The sequence below is a fragment of the Homo sapiens genome, chromosome 2, assembly GCF_000001405.40.
Source record: "Homo sapiens chromosome 2, GRCh38.p14 Primary Assembly".
NCBI lineage: Eukaryota > Metazoa > Chordata > Mammalia > Primates > Hominidae > Homo > Homo sapiens.
In genome coordinates, this window is record NC_000002.12 from 54235832 (window position 1) to 54259877 (window position 24046).

Here is a 24046-nt window from a genome sequence, read left to right on the forward strand (position 1 = left end):
CTCAAAACCAACCAACCAACAACAACAATAAAACTCTATAAGCTCTGTAGTGACGTTTCCTCTTTTATTTCTGATATTGGTTATTTAAGCTTGCTTTCTGTATTTCTTCATTATTCTCCATGGGGGTTTATAAATTTATTCATCATTTGAAAGAACCAACTTTTACCCTTATTGATCTTCTCTATTGTATTTTTGTTTTCTGTTTTACTTGTTGCTGTTATCTTTTTATTTCCTTCCTTATATTTTCTTTAGATTTCTGGAATTTTTTTTGTTTGTTTTTTGTTTTTTGAGACAGGGTCTCACCATGTTGCCCAGGCTGGTCTCCAACTCCTGGGCTCAAGTGATCCTCCTTCCTTGGCCTCCCAAAGTGCTGGGATTACTAAATAGGTGTGAGCCACTGTGCCCAGCCTATTTTATTTAGATTTAAGTTGTTCTTTTCATAACTTTTTATCAAGGATGTTTAGCTTATTGCTTTTCAGCTTTTCTTCTTCTCTAATATATGAATTTGGGGGCCATAAACTTTACTCGTAGAATAGTTTTAATGGTGCACCTCATAAATTTTAAAGAACATTTACTTCAAAATGGGCTCTAATTTCCACTGTGACTTTTTTCTTTGGCCTATGGGTTATTAGAAAGTATATTTCTTAATTTATAAGCATTGTGAATTTTCTAGGTAAATTTTTGTTATTGATTTCTAGTCTAATTTCTTTATGGTAAAATAATTTGTTTTGTATAAATTCAATTCTTTGGAATTTGTGGCAATTTGCTTTCACATATGATTTTGATAATGATCTATGCATATTTGAAGCCAATGTGTATATTCTGATGTTTCAAGGTAGAGTATTGTATTTGTGACTATTAGGTCAAATACGTAAAAAGTATTGTTCAAATTTTACATATCGTTATAAATTATCTGATATACCTGAGAGAGGTATGTTCAGATTTCTCACTATGATTTTTAAATTTCTCTGTTTTGTCAATGTTGTTTAATATATAATTTTGAGCTATGTTACTAGGTGAATTAAAATGTAGAAGTATTATCTCTTAATAGAGAAGTTAAAGTTTTATCATTTTGAAATGCAGTTGTCCCTCCATATCCATAGGTTCCATATCTGTGGATTCAATTGGGGATCAAAAATATTTGGGAAAAAATTGCATCTGTACTGAACACATACAGACTTTTTGTCTTGTCATTATTCCCTAAACAATACAGTATGACAACTATTTATATAGCATGTATATTGTATTAGGTATTATAAGTAATCTAGAGATGATTTAAAACACATGGGAATACATTATATGCAAATACTATTCTGTCTTATGTCAGGGACTTGACTATCCATGGATTTTGGTATCCATAGGAGGTCTTGGAATCAATCCCACATGGATACCTGAAGGCCTTCTTTGTCTGATATAAATATAGCTTATATGCTATTGGCACATGTTTTCATTTTATATATACTTAAAATCTCCTAATGTATTATTATAACTATTGCTATATTTGGTTAAAAATTTAGGTTTATCCACGTTTGCCCTTTTCATTGTTCTTTATGCCTTCCTGCATCTTTGAGCTTCCATCTGGGAGCGGAATACACCCTTCAGTGTTGTCTTTAGGTTAGACTATCGATACAAATTCTCTACATGAAGTGAAAAATGTTTTTTTTCTCTACTTCATTATTGAGGAGTAATTTTACTGGTAGAGAATTTTAGGTTTATAGCTATATTCCTTCGGCACTTTGAAGATAATTCCATTTTATTCTGGCTTCTCTTGATTCTTTCAAGAAGTCAGCTGTCAGTCTGATACTTGCACCTTTGATGTTAATCTGTCTTTTCTCTCAGGTTTCTTTTAATATGTCTTCTATAACTTTTATTTTTAGCATTTTTTACTATGTTGTGCTTTTCTTTTTCCTTATCTTGGTTTAAGTTTGGAGATCTACTTGAATCTGTGCTTTTGGCCAATTTTTGCAAAGTCTCAGTCATTATCTTCTTGAATATGCCTCTTTCCCATTCTCTCTTCCCTCTCTTCTGGATACCTTCTATCTATCTAACTTTCTGGACATGCATGAATGGGCCCCGGCAACCTATCTGACCCCATCCCCTGCCGTACTCTCGTTACTCGCTTGTCTCTATCTTGCTGTTTTTCTAACATGCCAAGCATGCTTCTTACTCCTAGATTTTTAAAAATATTGCTTCCTTAGCCTGGAACACTGTTTTCAAGATATGTCTAAGACTCATTCCCTTACATGATTCAGGTCTCTGCTCAAATGTGGCCTTATCAGAGAGGCTTTCTCTGACATTTATTCAAAATTATCATCCAGACCTCTCCTCTCCCATATTGTTCTCTAACTCTTTACCTGGTTTTATGCTTCTTCATAGCACTTACTACAATATGACACATTATATATCCAATATTTATTTGCTTATTCTTTGTCTCTCTCCATTTGAATAGAAATTCTGAAGTTCTGTAAGAGGAGAGAGCTTTTTCCCACCCCCTCCTCACAGTTGTATCCCATCCCCTGGAATAGTGCCTGGATTAGAGTAAATGTTCAATAAATATTTGTAGGAGAATGAATGAATGATTAATAGATAGAAGATATAGGAAGAGTTCTCTACAGGAAGTAAAGAAAGTGGAGAAGGCAGAATAACAAACTAAGTAAGTCTTTTAATTTGTATGGTCTATATTTTAATCTTTCGAATGTAAAGATAGTATCATTGATCATATTTCTGTTCATCAATGTTACCTAAAATAGCAAAATGAAATATTAATATGTTTGAAGATATAGCTTTCATTAGTTTAAATTAACTATCTCATTTAGTTTAGGCATATGGTCCACAAATTTTTAAGAACATTTAATTTTAATTTAAAAAATTAAGCCTACCAAATAAGATGCATTATTTTCCAGTGACTTAATATGTATATTCAAGACTTTTTCAATTTTTTATAGTATAAAATTATTGTGATTGCACATGAAAATTTATTATTTAAGCAAAATATTATGAGTGCTTATAAGTACAAAGGCTAAAACTGATATCCCTACCAACCACAAAAAAATAGGCCAGGCAGCTGGGTACTGCCTAGCCTATTTTTTTGTGGTTGGCAGAGATATCTCTTTATTGTGTAGATATTTAAGGACTCATATAGACCCATCATTTTTTATGGGCAAAAATCCCAACTCTGGTCTTCTAAATGTCTTTTGTAAATTTATTTCCCTAAATAAATCATAAATCCACTTATAATACCTAGACCCACACAATGTGTATTCGTCATAGCTGCTCAAAAGGAATCCACAGTGTAGGTCAGAGCTACTTGATGAGAGAAAGTCTTGACTCTGCTAATAATGTTTTTACCTCACTGGCACCCACAGTATTTTGCCAGATTGCCTGAAGTCAGCATGCCTTCCTGATGGTCATGGACTGTTCTGCTTTTCCAGGAATGTCTCAAAGGGATCCTGCCTGAAAGGAAAGAGGCCATACTGTGATATTTCACTGCTTATAAAGAGACCAAGAATGGCCTCTGTCTTGTTCTTTTAGCTAGCTTCAAACAAACTTAGCCAGCTTAAAAACAGAAATGGAACTGATGAAGTCATCAACCTAGAGCCTCCCGCTACTGCCCATGTATTTTGTAGTCTAGAATGAAGCTAATAATCTCAAGAACTGCTTCCTAGAAAGGTTAAGGAGAAAAGCATGCCCCATCCCACTTCTCCTCCCATTTCCCACTCTTGAAATAGCATTGTTAGCATCTGATGTGAGCCAGAGGAGTATTTGAGGCTGTGCCATATGTCCTTGTTAGAAACACTGAGCTTATAATGACTAAGAAACTCCAGGGGGTTGTCTAAACCACCAAGGTTATAAAGGGCACAGCATCATCACAGCTGAACTAAAATTTAATATGATTCTTACTTTACCACCCATGGTGACCTAAGAAGGTGGTAAGGGGGACAAACTCTAAATAGAGGGCTCAGTTGTGGCTCACCAAGAAGCTAAATATGCTGTTTTCATGGTAGAATAGGGAAGAAGAAACTGGTAAATATTTCCAAATGTCATGTGTTTACATATGAATCTATTCACTTCTTTATTTTTAAAATTCTTCTGAGAAGTACTTTAGAAGTAATCCCTAAATTTAAAGTATTTATAACAAAAATTTTACATATTCTCACCAGTTTAGAGCATTACCCAGAAGGAATTGTGACTCCATGGTCCAGGGGATTAGAGTTAGTCATTAGGGGTGGGAATTTCTTCTCAGAACGAAGTTAGAGCTCTGTAACCATCTTATGTGACCAAGTAGATGTTTGAGAAAGATCTGGAATTAACGTAATGAAGGTGAGTAGCACTGAGAATGCCCATAGAGTCTGTAGCTTAGATGGGGGTGGGTGTCACCATGATCTTAGTGTTGCACTTTTTGGAAACTAGGTTTAGGTGAGGAATGAAGTCACAATCCCCTAAGAAGGGAATAATGAATAAACTAGTTATATCAGCTTATTACTTTAGAGTAGAAAACAGACCTCATGCAGGAATCATTCTGCATATGTGGTGAAGCCTTCTTGGTGAGCAGACAAACAAAAAAGAAAATTCACTTTTTCTAAAAAAATAGCACATCAGACCTTTGTAGCCTGGAGAACTCATTCTTCTCTACTTTAGAGGTGTTTCTTTTTCTAATAACTGGGAAGGGCTGTCTCTAACCGGAGCTCCTGTACCACCCCTAAAGATATCAATAATTTCTCATTCTCCAACTTTTAGTTTTCCCATTTTTATTGGTCCTCAAAACTTTGTCTTTGCGGCACTCCCTGCCTCATCATACTTGTGACAAGTTGAATTCCTAAGACTCAGGCTCGTATTACAAAGGATGCAATTTAGATGAGCAACTCCCTGGTGAGATGAGTGGCTCTCTGGCAAACGGGGTGGGGAACATAGAGAACTAAGAGTCAGGAAACTTGGGGCCTATATCTAGGGCATCTGTTACCTAACATTCTGACCCAGACTATGTTTTCCTTGCTTCAGTGGCTTAGGCTGCAAAATAAGGTCCCTTTCACCTTTGACACATAATCCAGATCTTGTACTTTACTTTAGTAATTTTAGAAAGAAGACATTTAGGCCGAGGAGATGAATGTCTGTTCTCATTGAGGTAATGAGGTTTTCTACCACTTTATTTTTCTTGGTAAAGTCTTTGCTTATAATCTGGCAGCCTTTATTTGTATTCCTTTTTCTTCCTTTGGCTGGCTGGAGAGCAAGTGCCATTGACATGGCCCAAAGAGTATCATCTTTTCAGCCTTGGAGCAAGGAGTCTCAGAGTAGAGCACCCCCACTCCCTCCCCAAATGCCTGTGAATGACAAGGCAGGAAAAACATTTTTTAATTAAGTCAATTCAGTTGTTACAAGTTGAATTAATCTCTAATTTAGGGATATCATGGGAAACTATTTATAATATATGCCAGCTGACCCTTATCCAAATTTCCATGGAAATAGCAATGTTATAACACAGGGTGTTCTTGGACTGCTCTAAAAATTCCAGCTGGTTTAAGTATGATATTGAACCGAAAAATGAAGCCTTCTACTAACAAATGTGTTGAAGTATGCACTCAGGTGCTCAGGAGGTATAGGCTTAGCTTGAAAAAATTCAAGGCATGATACCCTGGGCTTTCCCTCAAACCTCTTTAATTAAGACCTCTGATATTGTTGTGTTGTTTCTATCTGAAGTCAAATGGGAATTGCAGAAAGTTTTGCAGTTTTTTTTTTCTCCTCCATGAGGTAGAGATTCGTCTATGCCAGGAGAAGTGAAGATAGTCACGTCTTTCTCTTGAATGATGTAATAAAGTTTTGCAAGGGATAAACCATGTTTCACTTGTATCAGATTTATTTATCAAATGTGTTGCCATTAAGAGTATGAAAATATTTCAGCTGAGGCCAGGCGCAGTGGCTCACGCCTGTAATCCCAGCACTTTGGGAGGCCAAGGCAGGTGGATCACCTGAGGTCAGGAGTTCAGGACCAGCCTGGCCAACGTGGTGAAACCCTGCCTCTACTAAAAATACAAAAATTAGCTGGGCGTGGTGGCAGGCACCTATAATCCCATCTACTCCAGAGGCTAAGGCAGGGAGAATTACTTGAACCCAGGAGGCAGAGGTTGCAGTGAGCCAAGATCACGCCATTGCACTCCAGCCTAGGTGACACAGCAAGACACTGTATCAAAAAAGAAAAAAATTCAGCTGAAATAATAGCATATGGGAGAAATTAGCCATGTATTTATAATACGCGTAGTAAAAGTGCAGACGCTATGACTATATTGCATGCTTGGTGAAAGTAATGGCAGGTTTGCTATGTTCAAAACATTTGAATTAATCTGTTCAAACCATGCACAGCATTACAGAATTGACATTCCAGCACAGTGACTGCAGTCTGCAGCAGTTGCAGTTTTGTCATCTATACAACGTCAAACAAGATGCAAACCACCAGGCTTGGTAGATAGAATACCCTTTGAGAATTAAGTAATCCTGAGATGACTTTGCTCATCATTGATGTCCTGTGACGTCAACTGAAGGCTTGTCTTGCCCATTTCACCTTGTCATTGTGGTTATTGGTTTTCTCCATTAAAATGGAAAATTGGATTATATTTAGCAGAATGAACATATATTTGATGCTTTAGGTAAAATATATACAGTCATATGCCACATAATGACTTGATGTTTTAGGTAAAATATATACAGTCATATGCCACATAATTCAACATTTTGATCAACGATGAACTGCATATATAACAGTGGTCCCACAAGATTAAAATTAATATTTTTACTATACCTTTTTTATGTTTAGATACACAAATGTCATTGTGTTACAGTTGCCTACACTATTCAGTAACATGGCATACTATACACTCCATTGCACTCCATGTGCGCCATTGCACTCCAGTCTAGGCGACAGCCTAGGTTTGTAGCCTAGGAGCAAATAGGTTATACCACATATCCTAGGTGGGTAGTAAGCTATACCATCTAGATTCATGTAAGCACAGTCTATGATGTTCACACAACAGTGTAATCACCTAACGATGCATTTCTCAGAATGTATCCCAGTCATTAAATGATGCATGACCGTATGTATTATCTGAAGTTAGCACCCTTTAGCAAACTCCTGAATCATTAATTTGCAACCCTTTGGTTACATCTTTTTTCTTACCATTATAAGAATTTGCTTAATATGAATTTGTGGATTAAAGTGATTTAAAGTGCTCTCTATATCAGGGAGATTAGCCCTTTGTCTGTGATATGAGATGACAATATTTTTTCCCAAGTTTGACATTTTTCGTTTGAAAAATTTTTTTTGTCATGTAGATTGAAAATTTTTTTCCAGTACAATAACGCGTTTAACACTGGGGATACATTCTGAGAAATGCATCATTAGGCAATTTCTTTGTTGTGCAAATATTGTAGGGTAGACTTACACAAACCTAGATGGTAGAGCCTACTACACACCTAGGATGTGTGGTATAGCCTATTGCTCCTATTTTACAGACCTATATGGCACGTTATTGTACTTAATACTGTAAGCAATGGCAACACAATGGTAAGTATTTGTGTACCTAAACATAGAAAAGGCACAGTGAAAATATGGTATTATAATCCTATGGGACCATTGTCATACATAGTCCATCTTATTTATTTATTTATTTGTTCATTCATTCATTTATTTTTTGAGATGGAGTCTCGCTCTGTCGCCCAGGCTGGAGTGTAGTGGCGCAATCTCAGCTCATTGCGGCCTCTGCCTCCCAGGTTCAAGTGATTCTCCTGCCTCAGCCTCCTGAGTAATCCCCACAATCTCAGCTCACTGCAACCTCTGCCTCCCTGGTTCAAGCGATTCTCCTGCCTTAGCTTCCCAAGTACCTGGGATTACAGATGCATGCCACCACGGCTGGTTAATTTTTGTATCTTTTTTTTAGTAGAGATGGGGTTTTACCATGTTGGCCAGGCTTGTCTCGAACTCCTGGCCTCAAGTGATCTGCCTGCCTTGGCCTTCCAAAGTGCTGGAATTACTGGCAGGCCCATAGTCCATCACTGATGGAAACACTGTTATGCTGTGTGTGTGACTATAGTTGTTGCTGTTTTTTTTTTTTAATCCACAGCTGACCTGAAAGTCTTTTATGTCTCCAGATTTTAACAGAAAGCCTTCCCCACTCTGAGTTAGTAGAGATAGTTTCCTTTGTTTTCTTCTAGTATTTTAATTATTTCATTTTTAAAATTTAAATCTTTACTCCTTTAGAATTTACCTGGTATATAGTATGAGGCATGAATTCAACTTAATTTTATTAAAAACACCTCTCCAGTTTTCTCAAGACAATTGGAGTTGTTCGTCTTTTCCTCACTGATTTAACTTATGTATTTATGTATTTATTTATTTATTTAGAGATGGGGCCTCACTCTGTCACCCAGGCTGGAGTGCAGTGGTGCAATCTCAGTTCACTGCAACCTCCGCCTCCTGGGTTCAAGCAATTCTTGCGCCTTAGCCTCCCCAGTAGCTGGGCTTACAGGTGTGCACCACCACACCCGGCTAATTTTTATATTTTTAGTAGAGATGGAGTTTCACCATGTTGGCCAGGCTTGTCTCGAACTCCTGACCTCAAGTGATCTGCCTGCCTCAGCCTCCCAAAGTGCTGGGATTACAGCACTCCCAAAGTGCTGGGATTACAGTGGCATGAGCCACTGTGCCTGGCTTAGATACCCTGTGTATCATACACCAAATTCTGTATGCATTGAGATCTATTTCTGAATTTCCTGTTCTGTTTTCTTGATTTGTCTATTCCTGTGTCAGGAATACACCTTCAACTATTGTAGCTTTATATTATTTTATAATAAATGCTAGGAATTGTCCCCCTCATTTTATTCTCTTTTAGAGATTTCTTTGAAATCCTTGTTTTATTTTTTTCTGTATAATTTTCATTTTTGAATTGACACATAATAATTGTACATATTAATGGAGTACATAGTGATGTTTCAATATATACAATGCTTAGTGATCAGATCAGGATAATCAGCATATCCATAATCTCAAACATTTATAATTTCTTTGTATTGGAAAAATTCAATACCCTCTCTTCTAGCTATTTGAAAATATGTAATATTGTTAACTATAGTCACCCTATAGTGCTATAAAACAGAACTTATTCTTCCTGTACAGCTGTAATTTTGTGTCCTTTAACGTATCTCACCATCTTCCCCTTCCCCCATCTCCCTATCCTCTAGTAACTTCTTTTCTACTTTTTACTTCTAAGAGATTGGCTTTTTTTTTAGCTCGTGCATATGAATGAGAATATGAGGTGTTTAACTTTCTGTTCCTGGCTATTTTCACTTAACATAATGTTCTTCAGTCCCATCCATGTTGCAGGAATCACAGGATTTCATTCTTTTTTATGGCTGAATTGTGTTCCATTGGGTATATATACCACATTTCCTTGATTCATTTATCTATTGTTGGACATTTAAGTTGATTCCTTATCTTAGCTACTTTGAATGGTGCAGCAATAAACATGGGGGTGCAGATACCTCTTCAATGTACTGATTTCCTTTCCTTTGGATAAATGCTGAGTAGTGGGATTGTTGGTTCATATGGCAGTTCCATTTGCAGTTTTTTGAGGAATATTGTTCTCCATAGTGGTTTTGTTGGTTTACATTCCCACCAACAGTGTGTAAGTGTTTCCTTTTCTCTGCATCGTTGTTTTTTGTCTTTTTGATAATAGCTATCCTAACTGGGGTAAGATGATATCTCACTGTGGTTTTGATTGGCATTTCCTTCATGACTAGTGATGTTGAGCTTTTTTTTCCATGTATTTTTTTGGATAAATGTATGTCTCTTTTGAGAAATGTCTATTCAGATCATTTGCCCATTTTTTAATCAGATTTTTTTTTTTTTGCTGTTGCGATGTTTGATTTCCTTGTATATTCTGGATATTAATCCCCTAGTGGATGAATAGTTTGCACATATTTTCTCCATTCTACAGGTTGCCTTTTCACTCTGTTGTTTCTTTTGATGTGCGGAAGCTTTTCAGTTGGATATAATCTGTTCATTTTTGCTTTTGTTGCCTGTGCTTTTGAGGTCTTATTCATAAAATCTTGCCCCAGACCAATGTCCTGGAACTTTTCTCCTATGTTTTTCTCTAGGAGTTTTATAGTTTTAGGTATTACATTTAGGTCTTTAATCCACTTGAAGTTGATTTTTATGTAGAGTGAGAGATGGAGGTCTAGTTTCATTCTTCTGCATGTGGCTATTTAGTTTTCCCAGCACCATTTATTGAAAAGATTGTTCTTTCCCCCAATTAACGTTCTTGGCATCTTTGTCAAAAATGGGTTGCCTGTAGATAAATGGATTAATTTCTGGGTTCTCTATTCTGTTCTACTGATCTGTGTGTTATTTTTTAATGTATACTTTAGAATTTGTTTGTCTCATTCTCCCCCGACCCCTACCCTTCTCCAATTTTTGGCCTTGTTACTGTAGTTATAATTAATTGCTAAATTAGCTTAGGGAGAACAACTTTATGAGGTTGAGTCTTCCTATCTAACTAACTTGGTATGTCTTCCCCTTTGTACAAGTCTTTGTGTCTTCAGGAATGCCTTAAAATTTTATTAGTAAATATGGCACATTTCTAAAGCTTTTTCTTAAGTATTTCATCTTTTTCTGTTGCTATTGTAGATAGTCTTCCCCCATTTCATCTTCCAACTTTCTGTGTTTGTAATCTAAAATCTATTGATATAATAATTCTCTATCGTGCTGCCTAAGTTTTCTTGTTTACTTTTTCAATTGAATGTCATAGGGTTTTCTATATTCATCAGAAATTGTAGTAGTTTTATTATGTTCTCTAAATTTTTATACCTCTAGTTTCTTTCTCTTAGTAATTGTATTGTCTAATATCTAATATCTAGGATGTTAAGTAATGGTGGTGACAAATGAGCATCCTTCTTTGTTCCTGAATTGAGTGGGAATACCTCTAGTGTTGTCCTGCTAGGCATAATAGTTACTTTGGGATCAAGGTATATTTTATCAAGTTAAGAAGGTATCCACTTATTTCTACCATTGATTTCAACATATTTCTAAATCATAGTAAAGCCCCAGGGCTATGTACCTGCACCATGATAGGATAAAAGCTCTAAAAGGAAAGACACTTAAGACCCTCTAGTCTACCTTCCTCCCATCATGAGTATTAAATTCCAAGCACAGGAAGGTTGTAACTATTCCCTGCCCCAAAGTCCTAAAATTAGATTAGAAGACAATTTGGAACACTGTCTCTTAGGTCTTATAGCAGCGTTTTTTGGGGTATGTTAGGCTAACACTATTTCTCTATAACATTATTTCTCTTCCTTTGTGCTCTCTCCTTGAGATTTTTCCATTTTATCCTTCTCTTCTCATCTCACTTCTGGGACTTCACGTGTATTGCTTGGCTGTGCATTCTTCCTCCAGCCTGCCATTGCTGACAAGCCAAGTTTATCTTAGGAGAGTTCTAGACAGTGACATAATCCCTTCCCCACCCAAAAAGACTCTTTGCTATTTGCTCTTCCTGGACAAAGTACATTGTCTTCCAAATGCTGTTGGTTACATCTGGAATTAAAGCAGAAAGCTCATTGGAGCTGCTGAACACCTCAAAATATACTTCAGTTTTTACAGTGCCTTTAGCAAGGTGATTTTAGCCAACAGTGAAAGTATCATAGGCACTACTGTATCTTATATTCATTTGTAGGTGGTATTCAGATTTCAAAAGAAATTGTCATAATATTTATTATATTTAAATGGAAAACATAAACAATTACATATTAGTGCTATACTTCTGATTTTAGATTCACCTGTGTCATAACTTTAACATCAAAATTAGTAAATGTTTCATATGCTAAGAAAACTTATATGCAAATGGAAAAAATCTAAGCCAATTATTATTTTCATAATGTTCTACTGTGAAACAAAAGATAGTATTTCTGTCCATATGTAGTTATCAGACTCTGGAGTCAGATAGACTTGGGTTAGAATTCTGGATTTACCACCACCTGGCTGGGTGACTGGACAGAAGTAACATATTCTCAACTGAGTCTCACATTCCTCAGCTGCAGAATGGGGACAGAAATACTTTGTACAGTTATATGAGAATTAAGAAAATGCACACAAAGTGCTTAGCCAGTGGCTACCATGCCCTAAGACTTTAACAGATGATAACTATTACCATAGCCTATTGTTAATGGCTGTAATAAAGCCTGTTGTTTTTAACTTTTATTAACTTAAAGAATAAATGTTGCAGTTTGACTCAGTGTGGGACTATAATTGCAAAGCAACTCATTTATCCACACAGCCTCCTTTCTGAGAATTAGAACTAATGTACTTAGAAGGATTTGACTGAAGTTCTGCTCTGGATTTTCTTAGGAATTATTTGGGCAACCATGTCCATTAACACTTATCTAGAACCGCAAGGCTGAAAGTATGTTATTGTTTGATTAGGTTTTCATTAGCCAATTATTATTTATTGACCATATGATAGGTGGAATAGATAAGTATCACAAAAGACATACGATTCCTACTCTACACATTTAGAACTAAAAACAGAAGGGCATCTTTGATTTACTTAAAGGGTCCACTTTGTGCTAGATATAATACCATGCCCTAGGGATACATAGATGAAAAGATAGCCCCCTACTCTGAAGAAACTTATGGTCTAGTATGGTGTCTAGAATGGAACTTAGAAGCCACTTCTTATAGGAAGCCTTCCCTAAACTTCAGGTAGGGAAAATTTCCCTCTTATGTCATAGCCCCCAAGCTTACACTTAAGTTTGGCATTTGTCACACTGTAGATTGTCTGTCTCCTATGCTAGACTGTAGGCTGCTTGAGAACAGGGACTATGTCTTACTCATCACCGAAGAAAAGAAGATGACTAAAACATCATCTTGGCCCTTGAAGAACTTAAAATTGAGTGACAAATATAAACTACGAACATCTGTAAACAACTAAGCTCAAAATACATTTTTATGAATTATAAATTCTACAGAGTATATGCTACAAGAGGTAGGAGGTTTTGGAAAGATGATTTAGAAGATACGGCATTTCAGTTTAGAAGGAATGGTGTGATTTCCATGGTTGAGGTGGGCAAATGAATCCAAGGTTAAGGAACATCATGAGCAAAGGCACAGAATCGGGACTGTACATGGGCTACTTAAGGAATAGTAAGGAGTTCCATGTGAGTGGACTCTGGTAAGAATGTTAGGTAGGGGATTGGTTGTAGCTGATCTTGGATGCAGTAGTAGGGTGTTTGGATTTTCTTCTGCAGGCAGTGGTGCATTGACAAGGATATTTGAGCAAAAGGGACATGATTACTTTGTCAATAGTGTAAATGATGGGAAAAGAGAGATAATATTCAGGAAGGGGACTCCTGGGACTGCCAATAATGTAGACAAGAGGTATTAAGGTGAGAATAGATATGGAAAGGGAACAATTCTGGAAGCATTGTGCAAATTGACTTGTCAGACTCTAATTTGGAATAAGGGCGATTCCAATTTAAAAGTCCTTATTTCCTACCTCGGTGGAGCTTGCAGTGAGCCAAGATCGCGCCACTGCACACCAGCCTGGGTGACAGAGTGAGACTCCGTCTCAAAAAAAAAAAAAAAAGAGTCCTTATTTCAAAGGTGATGGCTCTAGTTTACATTCTCCGTCATTTACATGCTCTGGCCATGGCATGGGTAAAGTCACTCAGAAAGCGTTTAAAGAAAAGCCAGAGGGAGGTCACAGAACCTTGTGGAAAACTTATATTTAAGGGGTAGGTAAATCTTCATATTTAGAAGAGATTATGTTTCAAAACTTACTAAAAAGACAAAAATGGGCTGGGCACAGTGGCTCATGCCTAAAATCCCAGCACTCTGAGGCCATGGCAGGAGGATTGCTTGAGCCCAGGAGTGCAAGATGAGCTTGGGCAACACAGTGAGACCTTATCACTACCAGAAAAAATAAATAAATTAGCTGGGCATGGTGGCATGTGCCTGTAGTCCCAGCTACTAGGCTGGCTGAGGCAGATCACTTGAGCCCAGGAACAGTGAGGCTGCAGTGAGCTGTGATTGTACCACTGCACTCCAGCCTTGGCAACAGAGCAAGACCCTGTCTCAAAAAAAAAAAAAAAAAAAAAAAAAAGAAAACTCACATAGTTTTCATCCTTTAAGTGGTTTGCTTAAGTTAACATCTGGTTTATGGCAGAGCCCCCAACCCCTGACATGTAGCTCAGTGCACTTTCTATTTTATGCTCTAGATTTTAGTTTAATGCTAAATGTGAGGATATCACCTACCTTTTCCATCCTCATCTATCTTAGTAAACCGGATTAAATTTGAATTCTGGACCCCTCTACTTTAAGTATCTTCTATCTCAGCCAGGCGTGGTGGCTCACGCTATAATCCCAGCACTTTGGGAGGCCAAGGCTGGCAGATCACGAGGTCAGGAGTTCGAGACCAGCGTGGCCAGCATGGTGAAACCCTGTTTCTACTAAAAATACTTTAGCTCGGCGTGGTGGCGCACGCCTGTAATCCCAGCTACTCAGGAGGCTGAGGCAGGAGAATCACTTGAACCTGGGGAGGTAGAGGTTGCAGTGAGCCGAGATTGTGCCATTGCACTCCAGCAGAACTCCGTCTCAGGGCAGGTGGGTGGGGTGGGGGGGGCGTTGAAAGTATCTTCTATCTCATATGTTGATAGCTACCAATAGCAAAGAGAAAATTGTGCCACTGGAAAACAGGGCAAGTCATCTATATGGATGCCACTTAAAATTATGTGATATGAATTGATATAAAAAGCCTAATTAAATCTACCTTATGTTTCAAAGGCGGTAAGTTAATCTTTTACATTATTGTTTTTATACTCTACTCTTTATGTAAAAGAAAAACTACTTCATTTTCAAATGGTAAATTATTATCACCCAAATACATTGCTGTATACAGAAGTGGAAAGATTTTGCTCAAATAAGCCAAAGCTAATGATTTCATTATAATTCTATAGAAGTTTTTGTTGGTACTAATACTGTAATTGTCTATAGCATATGCCATAGGTATTGTTTGAAATTGTTTTTATCTCTTAATTATCAAATGAAATATACCTCAAAGAGGGAGGCCTGAAAAGACATGAAACTTTGAAATATAGAGCATCTTAAAAAGCAAGTACATGGTGACGCCAGTCTTCAGAATAGCATCATCCCTGTTGAACAGCATAAAAAATATATGGATTTGATGATCTATTTGGCTGGAAGATAAAAAATGAACCATCATGAGCCATTATTAAAGAGGTGTTTATAACTGAAAAACTGTGATAAAGGTCAGTTGACAAAATGAGTGGAGCACTGTAAATACTAAGAGTTGATGGCCCATGCCTAGATAATTCAGTGTTTCTATTCTTAGAAAATGGATTTTAACCATTTGAATGGGCCTAGTAAATGATCCTATTACAATTTTCACATATCAATTCATGGTTTACCCAAAAAGATGTGCAGCATACTTTTAAATTGGCCTTTTTCTGGCAGAGAGTTTCCAGAAAAATAATGTGTTTTTTTTTGTTTTGAATTTATTTGCTTACTTTGGGTTTTTCTTAAGCAAGAATATTAAAGTACAATATACATACAGAGAAGTATGTTTTCTAAATGTACAACTCAGTGAAGTTTCACAAGTTGAATATACTTACTTATCCAGCACCCAGATCAAGACACAAAACATCACCAGCGCTTCAGAATCTACCATCTCTTACTTCCTTCCAATCAATAGGTACTTACCACCCTAAAAGTTTATTGGGAGACAATTCTCCCATGTGTCTCATGTTTCTGCATATCTTGTGAGCAAAGGCACTGACTGCGTGTGTTCAGAATGTCTTTCCAAGGCAGCCTTGGAAGACCATGTCTCCAGAGCAAAGGGCAGGTGTGCTTATAGTCTTGAAAATAGAGATTATGTCCCTTAGAGAGCAAAGAACAGGTTTACTTACTATTCGGTATAATAGAGATGTCTCCCTTCAAAGCGAAAAGGACAGGCATGCTTACTGCCCATTATAAAAGATTCAGATTCCCTATGTTCCCTACAGGAGTTCCTCTCCTGTAACACAATCCACTGTATGTACAGGTGTCACTTGACTTTCTGTTGCCTTGTGGGAATTAGAGCTCAGGGAACCAGTGCAAACACTGACACTCTGACTATTGAGTTGTAAGGTCCTTTGTCTCTGACCTAGCATGTAAGGCTAACTTGTTAAGCTTGCAAGGAGCGTAAATCTCAGACCCGTCACTGTCCTTGGTAGTAAGCACTATTCTGACTTCTACCACCATAGATTAGTTTTACCTGCTGTTACACTTCATACATAAAAGAATTATATAGCATGTACTCTGTCTGGCTTCTTACATCCAACAACATATTTGTGAGATTCATTCATATTATTGCATGTAGGCATAATTCTTTCTTAATAGTATACCATTGTGTGAACATTTTAAAAAATTGGGTTTTTTTTTCCACTATTGATGGACATTAGGGCAGCTCCCAGTGTCAGCTATTAAAATTCTGTTGTTAGAAATACTTTATGCATGTCTTTGAGTGAATATATGTATATATTTCCGTTGGGTATATTCCTAGAACTAGATCAGAGGGTTCGCACTGGTGCTGCCAAACAACTTTCTAAAGTATCTGTACAAAGCTGCTCTCCCATAAACAGTATATGGGCCTTTTGGTATCTCTGTTATTTTCAACCTTTGTTATTTTCCATCATCTTTGTTTTGTTTTTTTTCAGTGACATGCTTCAATTTTACCATCATCCATTCATAAGGAAAGATCCCATTGGCATAATGGAATTATACCATTGGCATAAAATAAATATGCCAATGGTCGGGCGGATCACAAGGTCAGGAGATTTGAGTCCATCCTTGTTAACACGGTGAAACCCCGTCTCTCCTAAAAATACAAAAAATTAGCCGGGCGTGGTTGCGGGCACCTGTAGTCCCAGCTACTCGGGAGGCTGAGGCAGGAGAACGGTATGAACCTGGGAGGCGGAGCTTGCAGTGAGCTGAGATCGTGCCACTGCACTCCAGCCTGGGCGACTGAGCGAGACTCCGTCTCAAAAAAAAAAAAAATATGCCAATGGTATAATTCCAATTTCACAAAACAATCTCACAAGCACTTCCACTCTTTAGGCTGAGGCAGGTGAATCATGAGGTCAGGAGTTCAAGACCAGCCTGGCCAACATGGTGAAACCCCATCTCTACTAAAAATACAAAAATTAGCCAGGCGTGGTGGCACACACCTATAATCCCAGCTACTGAGGAGGCTGAGAAAAGAGACATGTCAATTACTAAGTTGTTACCAGGACAAGTTATCAAAAAGGACAATGAAAGCCATAAATATTTTGTAGTTTATTTACCCATGAACACAATAGTTTCCAGTCTTCCGCATCAGATAAGACCAAGTTATTCAAATTAAAATGTTAAAGATACGGTTTTAACAGAAACAAGAACAGGCTGAAAACTGCCATGAATATCCATATCCACATAATGTACAAAAAAGAAAGACTGATATTATTCCAAATATTTCTATTTGAAAGTAAAAGAAAATCTGTACAGCTGAATCTTCCCAGTAAACAGAAAGAGAAAATATTATAACACAGTATTAATCTTCCACATAAGTAAGGCCATATGCAAACAAGAAAGAGAACACCCAAAATTGCAGTGTTTCTTCAAAGAACCCTTCTCTAGGGAACATATTTAACACTCCAACCATCTTCTATTCTTCTACGTGCATACTAAAAAAAAGTACTTCTCTTCCCATCATAACTAGTCAACCCAGTGTAAATTCTAGGCCCGATTTTCCCCTGAATCATTTCTGCCTTTTTGTTCAGTTTTCCCTGCCTAGAGCACCCATCACAATCTCTTTAGTTCTTCTATCCACTCTGAACTAGAAATCACCTTTCATTCCATACAGCTCTGTAGTCCTTTAAACCCTCTAGGAATTGCTAAAGAGGGGTGAGGGGCTGAGAAGAAAGGAGAATGGGCAATAAGAGGTCTGGCAGTCTATTTTACAGAACAGCCTGCCTCTGGACATGACAAAGAGAGCCAAGAAACTAAAAAGCCTGCTTCTGCGGATGTTTCTGAACTACTACTTTTGTTTTTTTTAAAGGAAGACAGAAGAGATTTATGAGAGATGAGAGAAAAGAAAGTGTACACTCACTCTGGCACTTCATTAGGTTCAGGAAGGGAGGCAAATAAAGGTACCTAGATTTTGAATGAATCCACTGGTTGTGGCTGAGAAAGCCTGGTACTTGTCAAGAACACCAACATATTAACCTTGCCATGAGGATAGGGTCTGACATGTCCCCTCAACCACCTGTCTAACAAACAGTAGGGTTTCTGAGTGATGAGGGTGGTGGTGGTAAAGAGAGGTCTTTTGGAAGAGGAACAGGTCTTTTGTGTGCTGACAGGAAAGCTGTGTCCACCACCAGTGTTCTGGAGATCCCTGTTTATTAGAAACCAGAGAGTGGAGCTGGCAATGGTCTGGGATATGTTCACTCAGCAGGGAGCTGCCCAAGTAGCAGTACTTGGGAATAGCCAGTAGCAGGCAGCAATAGGTGACCAGTCTCAGGAAAAGTAATGGGGTCCCATAATTCACACAGACCAACTTGCCCCCTGCTGTTCTCCCTTGACTTCATTAATGCCCAGCAATTGTCCACAGGCCATGCACCTGTACTGTCAGATGCAGAGCAGGGTGAGCTGAATAGGTTCTTAGACACAGCTAGAAATCCAAGTAGGAGGAGCCAGACCAGAGGTCCTGGGAACAAACCGAGTCCAAACAAAGGTAAATACAGTGTAACCTACAGCATCATTCGCTTCGCTTAGAAGGATGTGACCCATCGGCTGGGAGCATGTGATGTTAATGCAGAATAGCAAGACGACCAGGTGAAAGGGGAGCAGCACAGCCACCAAGGTCTCAATCTTCAGGTTGAGAGAACGGAAAGTTTAAACAGAGGGTACAGGAAAGTCAGAACAAAAAAAGTAAAGGGCATACCTAATGCTGTTGCCCAAGCTCAGGTCCAGCTGGTGGTGGCAGGCAACCTTCTGCAGGAGTAATTCCAAAGGCAAAGGTTAACCACACTGGAACCCAAAGGGCCTGGGGATCTCCACTGGCTCCCTTACCAGGCGACGTCTAGCTCTATGGGCGTCTTCACCCAACAGGTAGTACTGCAGTGGATTTGACCAGAGGTCCTCTTTAATAATCTGAGCAATCCTGTCGGACTCTGGAAGGCTGTGGTCTGAAAACCAGGTGAAGAAGCTGCAGATGACATGTCGGTTCCTATGAATGAAGGACTGGGGTCCATGGCCCCGGCGCCACATGATTAGAGTGGAAAAAGACACCACTTGGCCGAAGGATCTGACCTCATACACCTTTACAATCAGCTTGTTTCTGAAGTAAGGGTTTCTTTGAAAGAAGAACTTAAACTTGCAGCCTGTCCTAGGGTGTCTGAGCTCCTTCACTTCCAAATTGGTTAAGTAGCTTAACATCTCGGCATCTTGGCCTCTAATCATGGCAGACAGCTGTGGGTGGTGGCGGAAAGCAGTGACCCAGAAGCCCGGGATATTGCGAATGATGTCATTCCTCTGCTCCAGGTAGTATTCATGAATCTGCCCAAACCTGCGCTCCACCTGCAGGAGCGCCCTGTCAGCCTCTGCATTCACGGAGTCCAGTTCCAGCTGGATGGACTCCAGGGGGTTCAGGTGGAGACCCACGTTCAGGGGCCCGGGCCCGGGCCCAGGCCCTGCCTCCCTGTTTACCTCATCTATTGCTCTGTTTTCTTCCGCCACGTCCATTTCTTCGCCTCCTGGCTTCTCATCCACTGGGGCTGAGAACATGGCACACTCCTCAGGCTTCACGTCCTCGGCCTTCCCCTCTGCAATCACTTCAGACTCCGACCTCCCTGCCCCACAGGTTTCTAGAGCCTTCTCCCCACCTAGGCCGTGCGTCTCTTCACCCGGAAAGCCATTTTTGAGGCTGCCGTCAGTTGTCAGCGAGGCAGAGGCCGCTTCTAGGCCCTCCGCGGGTGGTGGAGTCACTTCCTGCCCCGCTTTGATGGCTCCATGACTGCGACCCGCATCGACCAAGATGTGGAAAGTATGGCCACCATCTGCGGGATCCTGGGGCGCGACCCCCTCCTCTGGAAGCCGGGGCGGTGGGAACACGATTGGCTCCAAGCGGCCATCAAACATATCTGCCATTACCTCTGTCGCCTTGCTCTTTTCTCGGGACCTCTGGCCCTGGTGCGGGTCTTCCAGAGCATAGTCGAGAGTAGCGGGGCTGTGAGGACTCTCCGGGAGGCTCATGTTGGTAGCGGCCAGGGCAGCAGTGGGTAGAGGCCAGGCCAGAGGTAGGTAGCGTCAACGTTCCTCACACAAAATGGCGAGTAAACACCTCGCCCATTTGCGCCGCCCACTCTTCAGTCTCGCGACACCCACCCCTCAGTCTCGCGACACTCACTCCTCAGTCTCGCGAGTCTGTGGTGGTGTCTTTACGTCTTTGTTATTTTAGCCATCGTGCTGGATGAGTAATGATATTACATGGTGGTTTTAATTTGCATTTAGCCAAAGTCTAATGAGCTGAGAACCTTCTCATGTGTTTGTTGGCCACTAGGATATTCTCTCTTGTGCAGTATCCGAGGCTTCTCCCTATTTCTCTACTGGGCTGACGTTATTTTTCATATGGATTTGTAGGAAGCCTTTGTACATGCTAGATACTAGTCAGTCATTCTTCCAGTATAGGTATTACAAATATTTCTCTTCCAGTATAGGTATTACAAATATTTCCTCCCACTCTGTGGGGTTACTTTTCTTTTGGACTCGTAGTTTCGCTGTCGCCGAGGCTGGAGTACAATGGCATGATCTCAGCTCACTGAAGCTGCCGCCTCCCAAGTTCAAGCGATTCTCCTGCTTCAGCCTCCCAAGTAGCCGGGATTACAGGCGCCCACCACCATGCCCGGTTTTTTTGTTTGTTTGTTTTGTTTTGTTTTGTTTTGTATTTTTAGTCAAGACATGGTTTTGCCATGTTGGCCAGGCTGGTCTGAACTCCTGGCCTCAGGTGATCCGCCCATCTTGGCCTCCCAAAGTGCTGGGATTACAGGCATGAGCAACCGTACCTGGCCTACTTTTTCACCATCTTAATGGTACCTTTTGAAGAACAAAAGTTTTTCATCTTAATATGTGCCAATTTGTCATTTTCCCCTTTACCTTAGTGTTTTTCTGCTCTGTTTAAGAAATCTTACCTCTCACCTGGGCACAGTGCCTCACACCTGTAATCCTAGCACTTTGAGAGGCGGAGACGGGAGGATCAGTTGAGCCTAGGAGTTGGAGACCAGCCTGGGCAACACAGCAAGACCCCATCTCTATTTTTAAAAAGAAGAAAAAAAGAGGAATCTTATCTCACCAAGATTGTTCAAATTTATATATGCCATCCATCTGGAATTGATTTTTATGAGTGGGGTCACAATTTCTTTTTTTCCATATGAATATCTAATTGACCCAGCACTGTTTATTGAAAAGACAATTCTTTCCCCATGCATAGGTTTTTAAATGTTTCTGTCAGAAGTGACATAAATCATTGGCTACAGCTAGTCAGTTGGCCTTGTCTAACTTTAATAGGACAGGGAGGTGTAATCTTCTCTTGAGCCTGGAAGGAGGAAACTGGAAATATTGGCAAGTGCTGTATCACTCATCATGAAAAATAATTTGAGAAATATATAAAAGACCAATAGAATTAGGCCAAAGGACATAGAGAAAAGGTAATAATAAACAGGAGAAATTTATGTAAGACAATACAGAGCATTAACCAAAGATTAATAATAAAAGGAGAGAGAAAATAAGCAATATTTGGAGAGAAAATTATAGTCACATTGATGGTTTAAATAAATATAAGACAGGATGTTAGACAGCTTTATGCCAATACATTTTCAAACTTAGATGAAATATATGGCTTCATAGAAATGTATAACTTATCAACACGGACTGAAATGCAATAGAAAATCTAAATAGACCTAGAGACAATAAACAAATGGAATCAGTAGCTTAAAAAAATGTTTCCACAAAAATAGCATGAGGTTCAAATGATTTTGAGGCGACTGCTACCAAACCTTCAAGGAACACATAATCCATTTTTATATTTATTAAACATTCAACAAATATTTATTAAACATTCAACAAATGTTTATTGGGTACCTACTGTGTGCCTGGTACTCTTATAGGCCCTCTGGATATAACGGTGAACAGACCAAAGATTTCTTCCCTCTTGGGGTTTACATTTTAGCAGGGGAGAAAGATAATAACAAGAAACCAATATTGCACATTAGAAAGTTATAAGTGCTATGGAAAAAACAATAGAGCAAGGAGATTGAAAGTCCTGGGGGTAGGGAGTGGGGAGGAGATTGTAGTATGAAATAGGGTGGTCAGAGGAAGCCTCATTGAAAATATGAGATTTTGGCAAAGAGTCAAAGAAGTTGAGGGAGTCAGCTAGTAGAAATCCTGGAGGAGAGCATTTCAGCACGAGAAGTGCTAAGCAGAGGCACTAAGACAGGAGCATGTCTGGAATGTTCAAGAAATAACAAGGAGGCCAGCGTGACTGGAGCACAGTGAATGAGGGAGGCTAGATCAAGTAGGGTCTTGTATGATAGTGTAAGAAATTTGGCTTTTATTCTTAGTGAAATGGGAAATTACTACAGGATTTTGAGCAGAGGACACAAAATCTGACTTAAGTTTTGCGTGAATCACTCTGGCTCCTGGGTGAAAAATAATCTGTATGGTGGCAATGGTAGATTTAGGGGGATCTTTTGGGAGGCTACTGCAGTAACCCAGGTGAAAGATGTTTCTCAGACCAGGTGGCAGCAATGGAGGTGGATGGTGGACATAGTATGATGGTAGAGTCAGCCTGATTTAATGGTAAATTGGCTATGGGATCTCTTAGTTCATTTTCTGTTGCTGTAACTGAATACCTGAGACTGGGTAATTTATAAAGAAAAGCTTATTTAACTCACAATTCTGGATGCTGAGAAGTCCAATATGCTGTGCTATGAAGTAGCATGACAAAAAAGCAGAAGAGCAAGCAAGCACCTGGGAAAGAATGGACAAGAGAGGCTGACTTGCATTATAGCAACCCACTCTCTCAAAAACTAATCCATTCCCATGAGAAGTTATCCAGCCTTGCAAGAAAAACATAAATCCATCTTAACAACCTGATCACCTCTTAAAGGCCCCACCTCCCAGCATGGGGTGTAAGAGAAAGAGAGAAGTCAAGGATGACTCCAATGATTTTGACATGAGCAACTGGTAGGATGGAGTTACTGGAAGCAGAGATGGTGAAGGTTATAATGAGGAAGATCTTTGCAGGAAAATCAGAGTTGTCTCTCTTTTTTAACATATTGTTTGAGATGATTATTGGACACCAGAGTTGAGATGCCAAGTGGGCATAATGAGTTTAGAGCTCAGGAGAGGTCTGAGATAGTTATTCACATTTTGGGATAATCAGCATGCATGGAATTTAAAGTCAAAGGGTTGGATGAGAACACTAAGATAGTGAGTCCTGATAAGCTGGGCCCTGAAGACTCCAAAAGTATAAGGTCAAGAAAAAGAGGAAAAACAGCAAGGAAGACTGAAGAGAGACCAGCAGGGTAGGAAGGAAACCAAGAGAGTGCAATGTGCTTGAAGCCAAATGTGTAAAGGAAGGTGTTCAGCTGTGTCACAGGGTGCTCACATGTCAGTTAGTATGAGGTCTGAGAATTGACCGTCGGATTTTACAACAAAGAGTCACTGGTGACTCAAAAAGAGCACTTTCAGTGGAGTGGTGGGGGTTGAAATATGTTTGAAAGGGAAAGGGAGAAAAGAAATGGAGATTGAATATTGACAATTCTTTTGAGGAATTTTTCTCCAAAAAGAAACAAAGAAATGGGATCATGACAAGAGTAGTCAAGCTACTTTCAGTGGAGTGGTGGGATAATAGCTTGGCTGGAATAAGTTTAAGAGAAAACAGGAAGCGAAAAAGTGAAAACAGCGAGTATATACAACTGT

At 39.2% G+C, this 24046-nt stretch overlaps 2 protein-coding genes and 1 long non-coding RNA gene across 7 annotated transcripts in view; 1 reads left to right on the top strand and 2 right to left on the bottom strand.

Annotated features, from left to right (window-relative positions):
• Positions 1-24046, top strand: part of ACYP2 (acylphosphatase 2) — a 334188-nt gene that overhangs the window by 264719 nt on the left and 45423 nt on the right. The gene's annotated exons all lie outside the window — the stretch shown is intronic.
• The window catches only part of LOC105374610 (uncharacterized), a 40619-nt gene continuing 19761 nt past the window's right edge, over positions 3189-24046 (bottom strand). The window contains exon 2 of the long non-coding RNA XR_007086321.1: positions 3189-3453. This is a non-coding gene — a long non-coding RNA (uncharacterized LOC105374610). The remainder of the gene's footprint in view (positions 3454-24046) is intronic.
• TSPYL6 (TSPY like 6) lies at positions 17347-20398 on the bottom strand. The gene has a single exon (NM_001003937.3). The coding sequence runs from the start codon at positions 20318-20320 to the stop codon at positions 19088-19090; it is 1233 nt and encodes a 410-aa protein (NP_001003937.2). The 5' UTR covers positions 20321-20398; the 3' UTR covers positions 17347-19087.

Coding starts and splice junctions, on each gene's coding strand:
- TSPYL6 (NM_001003937.3), bottom strand. CDS start 20,320: ATGAGCCTCCCGGAGAGTCCTCACAGCCCCGCTACTCTCGACTATGCT.